Here is a 12,148-nt window from a genome sequence, read left to right on the forward strand (position 1 = left end):
GGCTCACGCCTGTAATCCCAGCACTTTGGGAGGCCAAGGCGGGCGGATCACCTGAGGTCAGGAGTTCGAGACCAGCCTGACCAACATGGAGAAATCCCGTCTCTACTAAAAATACGAAATTAGCCGGGCATGGTGGCCCATGCCTGTAATCCCAGCTACTCGGGAGGCTGAGGCAGGAGAATAGCTTGAACCCCGGAGGTGGAGGTTGCGGTGAGCCAAGATCGCGCCATTGCACTCTAGCCTGGTCAAGAAGAGCAAAACTCCATCTCAAAAAAAAAAAAAAAAAAAGGCTGGGCACGGTGGCTCATGCCTGTAATCCCAGCACTTTGGGAGGCCAAGGCGGGAGGATCACGAGGTCTGGAGATCGAGACCATCCTGGCTAACATGGTGAAACCCCGTCTCTACTAAAAACACACACACACACAAAAAATGAGCCGGGCGTGGTGGCGGGCGTCTGTAGTCCCATCTATTCGGGAGGCTGAGGCAGGAGAATGGCGTGAATCCAGGAGGCGGAGCTTGCAGTGAGCCGAGATGGCACCACTGCACTCCAGCCTGGGCGACAGAGCGAGACTCCGTCTCAAAAAAAAAAAAAAAGACTGGAGGCTGTGCCTGGCTTTGGGCGTGGAGCTAAGATGTGGTCCTGTGTCCTTCCTGTCCTGAGCTCTGACCACTTCCTCCTTCACTCCACTTTCCGGCTGGCCTGATAGTTTCCCAATCCTTCAGGTTTTAGTGCTGTGTCACCCCTGGGGGTCCCATGCTGTCCCTGTACTTTTGGAGGCCCCATCTTAGCTGTAATTGTGTTCTCACTGTGTAAGCCTGGACCACTCTGGGCAGAGGTGGCAGGAAGACCGGCCCCTCTGTCCCCTGATGTATCCCCAGCAGTGGGCACCAAGTGAAGAACTGGCAACAGCCACCCAGCCCCTGAGCCTCCCAGGGCTCCCCGTCTGCACTCCTGGCCTCTGAGCCTTAGGGCCTTGCTCCCCTGGGCCTCTTGTGAAGACAACTGCCTGGCCACAAGGTGGTCCAGGAGGTTGCTGCCCACCTCAGCCTTGCCAGCACTCCCACCCATCCGTAGGCTCTGTCGGTCTGGGCAGGGTCGCTCCTCCCCTTCTGGTGCCGCAAGTGCCTCTGGCTGTACAAACCTTGATTTTCCAAATCTTCTATTACAGCCCAACCCACACCTTGAGGTGGGATTTGGAATCACCCTGACCTACAGGGCCAACAGTTCATGTCCTGACACCTGCCTCCAAGAGACATGTGCCTCCTCTGCTGCCCAGCCCTGCAGGGGTGATAAGGGTTCCCATGGACTCTGGCCTGGGGCGGGAAGCCTGCTCTGCTCACCGGATTCCGCGAGCCTCCCCTCCAACTCCAACGTTCACCTAAACGATGTTCAACCACCACAAACCACTGGAGCAGAACAGGCCATTCATTAATTCATTCATGCAGCAGGTACTCCCTGAACATTTGCTGTTGCCCAGTCACGGTGTGGGCTGGGGTTCAACACTCGTTTGTTCAATCAACAAACATTGATTGAGTGCCTACTGTGTGCTGCATTTACCTGAGGTGATGGGGGCAGACCACTGGCCTAAACAATGCCCTGCCTGGGCTGGGCACGGTGGCTCATGCCTGTAATCCCAACACTTTGGGAGGCCGAGGCGGGCAAATCATGGGGTCAGGAGTTCAAGACCAGCCTGGCCAACCATCGCTACTAAAAATACAAAAAATTAGCTGTGTGTGGTGGCGGGCGCCTGTAATCCCAGCTACTCAGGAGGCTGAGGCAGGAGAATCACTTGAACCCGGGAGGCGGAGGTTACAGTGAGCCGAGATTGCACCACTGCACTCCAGCCTGGGCGACAGAATGAGACACGGTCTCAAAACAAAAAACAAAACAAAACAAAAACAGCAACTCCCCGCCTTTGTGGGGTTCGCTTCTCACAGGGGAGTCAGGTAGCCAAGAATGCAGAAAGGCAGCCTGGCACGGAGGATGGGAAGGTGCTCACCGAGTGGGCGTGGCCTGGGGAGCTGAGGCCTGACCAAATGCGTCCCCAGCCACACGTTTCTCTGGGGACAAGCGGTCCAGGAGGGAGGAACAGGAAGTGCAGAGACCCTGAGGCAGGCCCGAAAAGCAACTCCATGCAGGTCCAGAAGAGTGCATGTGGGCCTTGCCCCAGGGGTGAAGCCCCCTCCCAAACTCAGTGAGGGCATGTGTGTGGAGGTGGGGGCAGAACCCAACTGCAAGGAAACACAACTGCCTGAGGGGTCCACGGGGCAGCATGAGGGAGATGTTAGTTTTCATTTTGGGTCCTAGATCACTGTCAGAGGTGTGTGAACCAGAGCAACTCCATCTTGAATGGGAGCTGGGTAAAATAAGGCTGGGGCCTACTGAGCTGCATTTCTGGATGGTTAAAGGATTCCAAGTCAGGATGACACAGGAGGTCGGCACAAGATACAGGTCACAAAGACCTTGCTGATAAAAGAGGTTCCGATAAAGAAGCCGGCCAAAACCCACCAAAACCAAGATGGCAACGACAGTGACCTCTGGTTGTCCTTGCCGCTACACTCCCACCAGCACCATGACGGTTTACAGATGCCACTGCAACGTCAGGAAGTTCCCCTATATGGTCTACAAAGGGGAGGGATGAATTATCCACTCCTTGTTTAGCATGTCATCCAAAAAAACATAACAATGGGCAACCAGCAGCCCTCAGGGCTGCTCTGTCTGTAGAGAAACCATTCTTTATTCCTTTACTTTCCTGATAACTTGCTTTTGCTTTACTGTATGGGCTTGCCCTGAATTCTTTCTTGCGCAAGATCCAAGAACCCTCTCTTGAGGTCTGGAACCTCTTTCCTGTAACAGCATGATTTGTTTTTCTTTTTCGGTTTGTTTGTTTGTTTTTTGAGACAGAGCTTCGCCCTTGTTGCCCAGGCTGGAGTGCAATGGCGCGATCTTGGCTCATGGCAACCTCCGCCTCCCAGGTTCAAGCGATTCTCCTGCCTCAGCCTCTGGAGTAGCTGGGATTATAAGCATGCAACACCATGCTTATATATTTATATTTATATTTAATATTTGTATCTATTTTTAGTAGAGACAGGGTTTCTCCATGTTAGTCAGGCTGGTCTCAAACCCCAGACCTCAGGTGATCCGCCCGCCTTGGCCTCCCAAAGTGCTGGGATTACAGAAGTGAGCCACTGCGCCCGGTTTTTTTTTTTTTTTTTTTTTTGAGACAGAGTTTCGCTCTGTCACCCAGGCTGGAGTGCAGTGGTGCGATCTTGGCTCACTGTAACCTCCGCCTCCCGGGTTCAAGTGATTCTCGTGCCTCATCCTCCCAAGTAGCTGGGACTACAGGTACACGCCACCACACCTGGCTGATTTTTGTATTTTTAGTGGAGACGGGGTTTCACCATGTTGCCCAAGCTGGTCTTGAACTCCTGGGCTCAAGCGATCATCCTGTCTCGGTATCCCAAGGTGTTAGGATTACAGGCATGAGCCACTGCACCTGGCCACCATTTGAATTCTTTTATGCAGTCACATATATTACTTTTAGACTTACTATATAGTTTCTAGGAGAAAGTTTTGTGCCCAACTGGCAGAAGCTACCCTTTCATATTTTTCACAAGCAAACTATTTTATTTTTATTTTTATTGAGAAGTCTCACTCTGTCTCCCAGGCTGGAGTGCAGCAGCAGGATCTCGGCTCACTGAAACCTCCGCCTCCTGAGTTCAAGGCCTCCTGCCTCAGCCTCCCGAGTAGCTGGGACTACAGGCGCCTGCCACCACACCCGGCTAATTTTTCTATTTTTATTAGAGACGGGGTTTCACCATGTTGGCCAGGCTGGTCTCGAATTCCTGACCCCACTTAGGACTCCCAAAGTGCTGGGATTACAGGCTTGAGCCACCGCGCCGACCACAAGCAAGATATTTTAAAACCTGATAGTAAAATAACAATGTGGGCGAGGGGCTGCAGAGCGCTCTGGTCACCAGGCAATGGGAAGCAGGAAGGGTGTGCGGGAGGGAGCCCCAAGCCGCGGGATGGCATCCCGGAACCTGGTCTGGTTCCAGCCTCCCAACAGCTCAGCCGTAGCCCAGGCCTCTTCAATGCACTCTGGCCGGTTGTCTCTGCACCAGGAGGTCTCCGTCCAAGTCTTGGTTAGCGCAAAGGTGGCCATGCCACTCTCAGGTTCAAAGCCCGTGCTGGGACAGAACCTAGCTTTCCCCTGCGGGGCGTCCCTGGGGCCTCTTCCTCCCTTAGCTCAATGGTCGATTCCTCTGCCCACGCCAGCTGGCGCGACCCAGAGGGTCCTGGGATCTCTCGGGGCGGGGCGCGGAGTGGACAGGGCGGGCATGGGCCCGGGGCCTGGAGAAGAGCAGGAACGGGGACGGGAGCTCGAGGGAGCAGGCCAGGGCCAGACACCGGAGCGGGTCCAGGGGACGGAGAGGGACGGGGGACAGGCTGGAGAGATGGGGCTGGGCCCTGTCTCGAGTCTCGGACCGGACGCGGGGGGGCTGGGGGGATGTAGACAGGGCGGGGTCAGAGAGAACCCGGACAGAGTCTGGGGTGCGCAGCGGGGGTGGGCGGGCTCCAGGGCAGGGCGCGGGACCGGGCGGGATGGGGCGGGGCGGGGCGGGGCGGGGCGGGGCGCCCGGGGCCCGCCCCACTGGGGGGTCTACACCGCCCGCCCGGTCTCGTGACGCTGGTCAGTGGCGCGGGTCACGAGTGCCGACTTGACAGACGGCAGCGGCGACATGGCTTCGGAGCAGGACGTGCGCGCCCGGCTGCAGCGCGCTGGCCAGGAGCACCTCCTGCGCTTCTGGGCCGAGCTGGCGCCGGAGCCACGAGCCGCGCTGCTGGCGGAGCTGGCGCTGCTGGAGCCCGAGGCGCTGCGCGAGCACTGCCGGCGGGCGGCGGAGGCCTGCGCGCGCCCCCACGGCCCGCCGCCCGACTTGGCCGCGCGCCTGCGGCCCCTGCCCCCAGAGCGCGTGGGCAGGGCCAGCCGCAGCGACCCCGAGACACGGCGGCGCTGGGAGGAGGAAGGTAAGCGGGGTGGGAGGCCCTGGGGGCCGGCAGGGGGTCGTGCCCACGGAGCGGGTGGGAACCGAGGCCGCGCTCGGGGAACTGTAGTTCTCCTCGCTACTTTGAGACGTGTCTCGCCTCACGCGTTCCGGCCCCCGAGTCCTGGCGCCCCAGCCCCAGAGTTGGTTTCCCCTAAAGCGGAAGGGTGGGCGGGTCCCGGGCGTCCCTTCACGGCGCCCGTACCCCCAGGTTTCCGTCAGATTTCTCTGAACAAGGTGGCCGTCCTGCTGCTGGCTGGGGGGCAGGGCACTCGCCTGGGCGTGACCTACCCCAAGGGTATGTACCGTGTGGGGCTGCCCAGCCGGAAGACCCTGTACCAGCTGCAGGCGGAGCGGATTCGGCGGGTGGAGCAGCTGGCCGGTGAGCGCCACGGGACCCGCTGCACCGTCCCCTGGTGTGTCCTGCCTGCCCTACCTCGGCCCGGAGGTACCCTTCCCCACGCCCCCCCACATCCCCGCTCCAGACGCGAGCCCCAACCCCGGCACAGACCGGGACATTGCCCAGAACCGGCCCAAAATGGGGCCTGGCCCCAGCCCCAACTGGACACTGGACCCCGAACCCCGATGCCGGCTCTGGTCCGAGCCCCGTCTGCCTGCAGGGCCAGGCGTACTCGCGGCCGGCTCACCGCGCCTCCCTTGCAGGTACGTCATGACCAGCGAGTTCACTCTGGGGCCCACGGCCGAGTTCTTCAGGGAGCACAACTTCTTCCACCTGGACCCCGCCAACGTGGTCATGTTTGAGCAGCGCCTGCTGCCTGCTGTGACCTTTGATGGCAAGGTTATCCTGGAGCGGAAAGACAAAGTTGCCATGGCCCCAGGTGTGGCCCGTTCCTGAGACGGGGAGGGACCGCCCAGACTAGAACTGGGAGCGTAGTTGGGGGTCCACGCGCCCGGGTTCGCGGCTGCCCCGAGGCTGTGTGGTCCTGGGTTAGGCGCCTCTTTTTCTGGGCCTTGATCGTCATTTGTCACATGGTACACCAACTGGGCTGTCTGGTTAGTGACCAGGGCTGCCTTAGGCACAAGGCCGGGGCTTCCCCCGCCTCCAGCACGTCCTAGACTCCCAGAGCGATCCCTGGCGGGAGCCCTCGCGATGCCCATTCCCTTCTCCGTCTGCAGACGGCAACGGGGGCCTCTACTGCGCGCTGGAGGACCACAAGATCCTGGAGGACATGGAGCGCCGGGGAGTGGAGTTTGTGCACGTGTACTGTGTGGACAACATCCTGGTGCGGCTGGCGGACCCTGTCTTCATCGGCTTCTGTGTGTTGCAGGGCGCAGACTGTGGCGCCAAGGTTAGCGCCCGACTGCGCGGCGCCCCGCACCCGAGGCTGGCCCCGCCCCTCACGGAGCCCCGCCCCTCCGCCCAGCCCTCGGAACCCATCCCTGGTCTTGGCTGCAGGTGGTGGAAAAGGCATACCCCGAGGAGCCCGTGGGCGTGGTGTGCCAGGTGGACGGTGTCCCCCAGGTGGTGGAGTACAGCGAGATCAGTCCTGAGACCGCACAGCTACGTGCCTCCGACGGGAGCCTGCTGTACAATGCAGGCAACATCTGCAACCACTTCTTCACCCGAGGCTTCCTTAAGGCGGTCACCAGGTGTGCGGCAGCAGGTGGCTGCGGATTGCCGGCCAGAGCCGCCTGCGTTGACCAGGGACCCGCGGGGTCCCAGTGAGCTGAGTGCCCTGGGCCACAGCGGCTGTGGTCAGGAGTGGCTGTGGTCAGGCACGGCTGATGGGTCGGGGTGGAGAATGGATCCTGAGCTTGCAAAGGCAGAGGTGCTGGAGATCAGGCACAAGCCGTGCTCAGCAGGCAGCTGCTGTAAGGCTCTGTGATCAAGTCTGCCATCTCCTCCTTCTGGGGACCTGCCCTGGTGCCCAGGGTGCTACCTCTGCTCTGGGGCTTGCCAGTTTGTTTGCCTGGGCAGGGATGTGGCTGATGGTGCCTGGCACTTGGCACAGGGATGCAGGGAGGAGGCCTGTGCCTGCTTCTCCCTGGAGATCTGGCCCTACTCTGCCGCTTCTGTGCCCTGTAGTGTCCTTCTGCCATCCTGTCCCACCCAGCTGGGTGTGCTCAGAAGTGGGGACAGAGCCCCCAGCGGTGCCATATCTGATCTGTTTCTTTCCTCCCCTCTGCTCTCCCGTGCCCCAGGGAGTTTGAGCCTTTGCTGAAGCCACACGTGGCTGTGAAGAAGGTCCCGTATGTGGATGAGGAGGGGAATCTGGTAAAGCCGCTAAAACCGAACGGGATAAAGATGGAGAAGTTTGTGTTTGATGTGTTCCGGTTTGCTAAGTTAGTAGTAGAACTCATTTATTTTCCCCTTCTTCCTTCTCTCAGTTTTGGTGGTGGGAACTGAGGCGCAGCTGGTAGGGAAGTAGAGGCTTGAGGGAGCCAAGGGCCCCGCGGGCAAGTCTCAGGGAGAAGACCAGAGGGTGCTCTTGGCCCTGAGGGTAAGCAGCCCCTGAGGTGGGGGCATAGGGAGTCCTTGGGGCTGTGGACTTGGGAGGACAGTAGTGCCACCTCCCGGACCTTCCACTGCCCCCACCCATGGTTAGGAGAGGTCTCCTGGCCAGGTTGCCAGGGCGGCTCGCAGGGCCTTTGGCCCTCACTGCAGGGGTCCCAGGGTTGGGCCTTCGGCTGCTGGAAATGGCTGCTGGGATTGGGCCATCCCTGGCGTCTCAGGAGCAAAAACACTCAGTACCTGCGGGGGCTCCTCCCTAGACTTGCTGCCCATGGGACCAGACCTTCACTCTGTCACTGGAAACCTGGCCCAGCTCTCACCTGCCCGGATCAGGGCCTCTGTGCTGGGACGTGGGTGACTAGCCCTTTCCCCACCAGGAACTTTGCTGCCTTGGAAGTGCTGCGGGAGGAGGAATTTTCCCCACTGAAGAACGCAGAGCCAGCCGACAGGGACAGTCCCCGCACCGCTCGCCAGGCCCTGCTCACCCAGCACTACCGGTGGGCTCTGCGGGCCGGGGCCCGCTTCCTGGATGCCCATGGGGCCTGGCTCCCAGAGCTGCCCAGGTGAGTGTGGCCCTGGGGTAGCTACAGCCAGAAGGGGAGGGCTGTCAGGACCCAATCTTCAGCTCCAGAGCCCTGTTGGCTCTGCGACAGCCATGCTGGGGAGGGGTCTTCCTTCCCGGCACCACCGCAGGTGCAGGTAGCCTTGTGCCCAGCCAGCTCCAGGTCACACGGTGACTGTCGGCACAGCCTCCTGGCCCGACCCTTCAAGTTGTGCTCAGTGCACTGAGGGAGGCAGGGGCTCCCCAACTCCCTCCCCAACTTATCCACAAGGTTTTGGTTTGTTTACAAAGGCATACTTAGATTTGGCTTTTATTTATTTATTTTTATTTTTATTTACTTTTTTGAGATGGAGTCTCGCTCTGTCGCCCAGGCTGTAGTGCAGTGGTGGGATCTCGGCTCGCTGCAAGCTCCACCCTCCCCCGGTTTCCGCCATTCTCCTGCCTCAGCCTCCTGAGTAGCTGGGACTACAGGCGCCCGCCACCACGCCCGGCTCATTTTTTTGTATTTTTTTTTTTTTTTAGTAGAGACAGGGTTTCACCGTGTTAGCCAGGATGGTCTCAAACTCCTGACCTGTGATCTGCCCGCCTCGGCCTCGCAAAGTGCTGGGATTACAGGCGTGAGCCACCTCACCCGGCTATTTTTTTATTTTTATTTTTCTTATTTGTATACATTTGTGGGGTGTGTGTGCAACTTTGGTCAGTCAGGTCAGGGCTTTTAGGGGATCCATCACCCAACCAACGTTGTTCCCATTTATTCACAGGCTTTGAAACTGAGCCCCGGGCATGAATTTAGAAAGTAGCAGGACAGTTTGATTTCAGGGCTGGGAAAGAAAAGGACGTTTGGCTTCCATCTCCCTGATTTTCTAGGGCCACCCCTAAATCTAGCTGCCTAGGCTCTGCGTGGGAGGCCTGTGGGGGTGCTTTCTACCCCAAATCAGGTCCTGTCACTTGGCAGTGGGATGTGTGCTCAGGGTTTGGGGTGTCCAGAGGAAGATGAGCTTGCTGAGACAGGAGCTGTGGGGAGCCAGGTGTGTAGAGCTCAGTCTCCTATCGGGACTGGGGGTGCTGGGGGAGGGCTCTGGGCAGGTGCTGCAAGGAGATATTGACAAGTGGACTTTCCCTAGCTTGCCCCCAAATGGAGACCCTCCGGCCATCTGTGAGATATCGCCCTTGGTGTCTTACTCTGGAGAGGTGAGAGCTGCCCATCCCTATCTGGGGCTTTTCTGGTGTCAGGTTTGGAATACCATCTGGGGAGAGGTGGCTGCTCGGGTGGAGACGGCACAGCTCTACCTCGGTTAACCAATGGGGTCGGTGGTTTAAATTTGCAGAAGACTTTCCAAGATATGGGTTGGGGTGGGGTGAGGCATCCAGAGGCCTTTGCAGGTCCTGGGAGGGCATGGGGATGAGACAGCCCAGGTCTGAGCCCAGTGTGGGGCCAGTCAGGCCTTGGTGGGGGCCTTGCGGAGGGAGGACACCGGCCTCTGCTACCTCCCTGACCTCGGCTGCCCTTGCCCCTTTCTCTGGTCAGGTCAGACCTGTGCGTGACAGGAGGGTCCCCTGCTGGCCTAGGGTCTTGAGTGTGGTCTTGGGTGGCCTTGCAGTGTGTGTCTGCTCCTGGCCCTGGAAGCCTTTCTGTCCCCACCCCTCCCTGACTCCAGGCAGACCTGGGATCGCACCTGGGGACTGTGGCTCTTGGTGTGGCCAGAGGGGCTGTGACCCGCCAAAAGGTGGGTACTTGGCCATTGTCCCCTGCTCGTCTCCAGGGTTTAGAAGTGTACCTGCAAGGCCGGGAGTTCCAGTCCCCGCTCATCCTGGATGAAGACCAGGCCAGGGAGCCGCAGCTGCAGGAGTCCTGACCCGCCCAGACTGTCCCCAGACTCCCCCGAGACCTGCCAGCCCCGGCATCCTGGAAGTCCCGACTCCCCCCAGACCTGCCAGCCCCGGCGTCCTGGAGCTGGGGGCTACAGCCCAGCCTGAGCTCTGGGTGGGAAAGCAGCCTGCCCCATGCTTCCAGCCTGCAGAACACAGAATGAAACATGCTGGTAGACTCCACGAGGGCAGGGCCTCTCCTGTCGCCTCTGGACACAAGTGGCGACAGCCTGCTGGGGGCTCTGTGGCTCCATTCCTGGCTGTGGGGTCTAGTCAAGAGGCAGAGGGACTTGGGACCTGGGAGAATGGGGCTGAGAGGAGGCTTCGGGTTGGGGCCCAAGGGAGGTGTGGTGTCATCTGGGGAGAACAGGAGGGCATGTCCCTTTGGGAGCCCGCCTTGTGGATCCACCACACCCCACCGAGCACTAGAAGCTGCATAAGCTACACAGGATGTGCTTCTGCAGCCTACAGATGCAGAACCAGAATGAGGGGGACAATTCCACCCACTCGAGGGCTGCCCCCTCTTCCTTAGCAGACGAACCAGTAATGGGGGCAAGGCTGGGGCATCCCAGCCCACACACCCTGGATGCCCAGCAAGGCCACAGAAAGAGCCTGATGTCCATGATCCAGGTGGCTCTGAGAAGCTTGGCCTGGACACCTGAGCCTGCGGCCGGTACTCCTGCCTTCTCCCCATCTATCCCCAAGGCCTCTGCCTCTCAGCCTCTTCCATGGTCGGTTTAGGCTGCTGAGTTTTCTGTGCTTCCCCAAGAACCAGTGGGATCAATGCCGGCGGCCTCTGTGATGGTTGCTGACTAATCCGGGATTTCATGAGTCAGAGGCACCACCCCTCACCCCAGCTGCCTGCTGCTTCTGACGGATCTTGGTGCTCAGGCTGCCTGGCTCTCCGAGTGAGGACGCAGCCTCCATATTTGGTGCACTCAGGCATGGCTGGGACAAGCCAGCTGCCCCAGGGTTCTTCCCCTGGTGATTCTCGCCTGCTTTCTCATCTCAGGGGAGGCAGTGGCACCTCCCTCTCCCTGCTGACATGAAGAGAGCTATGATATGCCACTGCTGCCAACTCATCCTCTGCCCCCACCTCGAAACCCACAGTCCCCAGTGGAGGGCCACTACTCATCCCCATTGGTTTCCCAGGGGAGGGGTGTTGTCTGGAAGGGCAGGTTCAGATGCAGCCTTCCAGATTTAGAGGCACTGGGAGGACAGTGGCTGAGTGGAGGCGCCCAGACCTGGGCAGGCAGCAGGCTCAGGCCCACACCTTGTGATTTTTGAAACCAAAGCCCAGAAGATGATGTTTACTTCTCTCTCCCTGGCTCTGCCCTTCTTACTGCAAACCATGCTGTGCCTTAGGGCCCTTCTCATAGCTGTTCCTCATGGCCATGACTGGAACAGGGATGCAACCTCTTTCTACACAAGCACAGTTAGTTGGGTGAAGTCTTTTTTTTTGTTTGTTTTAGACGGAGTTTCACTCTTGTTGCCCAGGCTGGAGTGAAGTGGCGTGACCTTGGCTCACTGCAACCTCCAGGCCAGCCTCAGCCTCCCTAGTAGCTGGGACTACAGGCACCCACTACCACGCCTGGCTAATTCTTTGTATTTTTAGTAGAGATGGGGTTTGACCGTGTTAGCCAGGATGGTCTCGATCTCCTGACCTCGTGATCCACCCACCTCGGCCTCCCAAAGTGCTGGGATTATAGGTGTGAGCCACCGCGCCGGGCCGGTTGCTGGCATCTTAATGTTCTGTAGGTGGAATATTTCCAATAAACACAAGGTGCCGTAATTGACTGCTACTCTGGCAAGTGCAGTTTTTGGGCAGTGCACGGGTGTTGGGAACAAGGATCAGGTGTTCACAGCTGTGTCCCAGGGCTGGAGCTCACTGGGGGCCCCCTTAGGGACAGGAGTTCACACATGAAGGCCAAGACTACTTGGGGTGCCAAGGAATCCCCCCGCGGTCCCATCCCACTCTTCACCAGGGTCTCAGGAGGGCCTGAGACAACCTGCGGTCAGGAACCTCGGGGCGCTCTCCAGGGCAGGCTTCTGCATGCTCAGCTCTGACAGCCTGGAGACTCGCTCTCCTGCACCTGCATCCTTGAGATGCCAAGGTTTCCCTGCTAACCACGTGAGGATGCTTGGGGTACTCCAGGGACTGACAAGAGTGAGTGGTGTCAACCTAAAGAGAAACT

General features: G+C 59.2%; 1 protein-coding gene across 4 annotated transcripts, besides 10 other annotated features; it reads left to right on the top strand.

Moving 5' to 3' along the window:
• Window positions 1,493–2,106: an enhancer, noted in NCBI's record as "H3K27ac-H3K4me1 hESC enhancer chr9:139968734-139969347 (GRCh37/hg19 assembly coordinates)". NCBI's record gives its function as "activates a minimal SCP1, AML or CMV promoter by ChIP-STARR-seq in primed H9 embryonic stem cells {active_cell/tissue: H9 hESC(primed)}" and the evidence as "EXISTENCE:reporter gene assay evidence [ECO:0000049][PMID:30033119]".
• Window positions 1,817–1,876: an enhancer, noted in NCBI's record as "active region_29341". NCBI's record gives its function as "activates an Ori minimal core promoter by ATAC-STARR-seq in GM12878 lymphoblastoid cells {active_cell/tissue: GM12878}" and the evidence as "EXISTENCE:reporter gene assay evidence [ECO:0000049][PMID:35858748]".
• Window positions 4,561–4,650: a silencer, noted in NCBI's record as "silent region_20574". NCBI's record gives its function as "represses an Ori minimal core promoter by ATAC-STARR-seq in GM12878 lymphoblastoid cells {active_cell/tissue: GM12878}" and the evidence as "EXISTENCE:reporter gene assay evidence [ECO:0000049][PMID:35858748]".
• Window positions 4,661–4,910: a silencer, noted in NCBI's record as "silent region_20575". NCBI's record gives its function as "represses an Ori minimal core promoter by ATAC-STARR-seq in GM12878 lymphoblastoid cells {active_cell/tissue: GM12878}" and the evidence as "EXISTENCE:reporter gene assay evidence [ECO:0000049][PMID:35858748]".
• Window positions 4,728–11,749, top strand: UAP1L1 (UDP-N-acetylglucosamine pyrophosphorylase 1 like 1). 4 transcript variants are annotated; one of them, NM_207309.3, is made up of 9 exons: window positions 4,728–5,032; window positions 5,261–5,465; window positions 5,713–5,888; window positions 6,187–6,359; window positions 6,467–6,660; window positions 7,213–7,353; window positions 7,900–8,085; window positions 9,209–9,275; window positions 9,848–11,749. In NM_207309.3, the coding sequence occupies exons 1-9, from the start codon at window positions 4,744–4,746 to the stop codon at window positions 9,938–9,940; spliced, it is 1,524 nt and encodes a 507-aa protein (NP_997192.2). In that variant the 5' UTR covers window positions 4,728–4,743; the 3' UTR covers window positions 9,941–11,749. The 4 variants fall into 4 exon arrangements, with proteins under 4 accessions (NP_997192.2, XP_047280022.1, XP_006717380.1 ...); XM_047424066.1 differs by having other exon boundaries at window positions 4,728–5,465; XM_006717317.4 differs by lacking the exon at window positions 9,848–11,749 and having other exon boundaries at window positions 9,209–9,841.
• Window positions 4,921–4,980: a silencer, noted in NCBI's record as "silent region_20576". NCBI's record gives its function as "represses an Ori minimal core promoter by ATAC-STARR-seq in GM12878 lymphoblastoid cells {active_cell/tissue: GM12878}" and the evidence as "EXISTENCE:reporter gene assay evidence [ECO:0000049][PMID:35858748]".
• Window positions 4,991–5,090: a silencer, noted in NCBI's record as "silent region_20577". NCBI's record gives its function as "represses an Ori minimal core promoter by ATAC-STARR-seq in GM12878 lymphoblastoid cells {active_cell/tissue: GM12878}" and the evidence as "EXISTENCE:reporter gene assay evidence [ECO:0000049][PMID:35858748]".
• Window positions 5,452–6,330: an enhancer, noted in NCBI's record as "H3K27ac-H3K4me1 hESC enhancer chr9:139972693-139973571 (GRCh37/hg19 assembly coordinates)". NCBI's record gives its function as "activates a minimal SCP1, AML or CMV promoter by ChIP-STARR-seq in naive H9 embryonic stem cells {active_cell/tissue: H9 hESC(naive)}" and the evidence as "EXISTENCE:reporter gene assay evidence [ECO:0000049][PMID:30033119]".
• Window positions 10,623–10,952: an enhancer, noted in NCBI's record as "active region_29342". NCBI's record gives its function as "activates an Ori minimal core promoter by ATAC-STARR-seq in GM12878 lymphoblastoid cells {active_cell/tissue: GM12878}" and the evidence as "EXISTENCE:reporter gene assay evidence [ECO:0000049][PMID:35858748]".
• Window positions 10,623–10,964: a biological region, named in NCBI's record as "ReSE screen-validated silencer GRCh37_chr9:139977971-139978205".
• Window positions 10,730–10,964: a silencer, noted in NCBI's record as "fragment chr9:139977971-139978205 (GRCh37/hg19 assembly coordinates)". NCBI's record gives its function as "represses an EF-1alpha promoter that drives an FKBP-Casp9 reporter gene in an ReSE screen in phorbol 12-myristate 13-acetate-treated (for megakaryocytic differentiation) K562 erythroleukemia cells {active_cell/tissue: K562(+PMA)}" and the evidence as "EXISTENCE:reporter gene assay evidence [ECO:0000049][PMID:32094911]".

The sequence above is a fragment of the Homo sapiens genome, chromosome 9, assembly GCF_000001405.40.
Source record: "Homo sapiens chromosome 9, GRCh38.p14 Primary Assembly".
Taxonomy (NCBI): domain Eukaryota; kingdom Metazoa; phylum Chordata; class Mammalia; order Primates; family Hominidae; genus Homo; species Homo sapiens.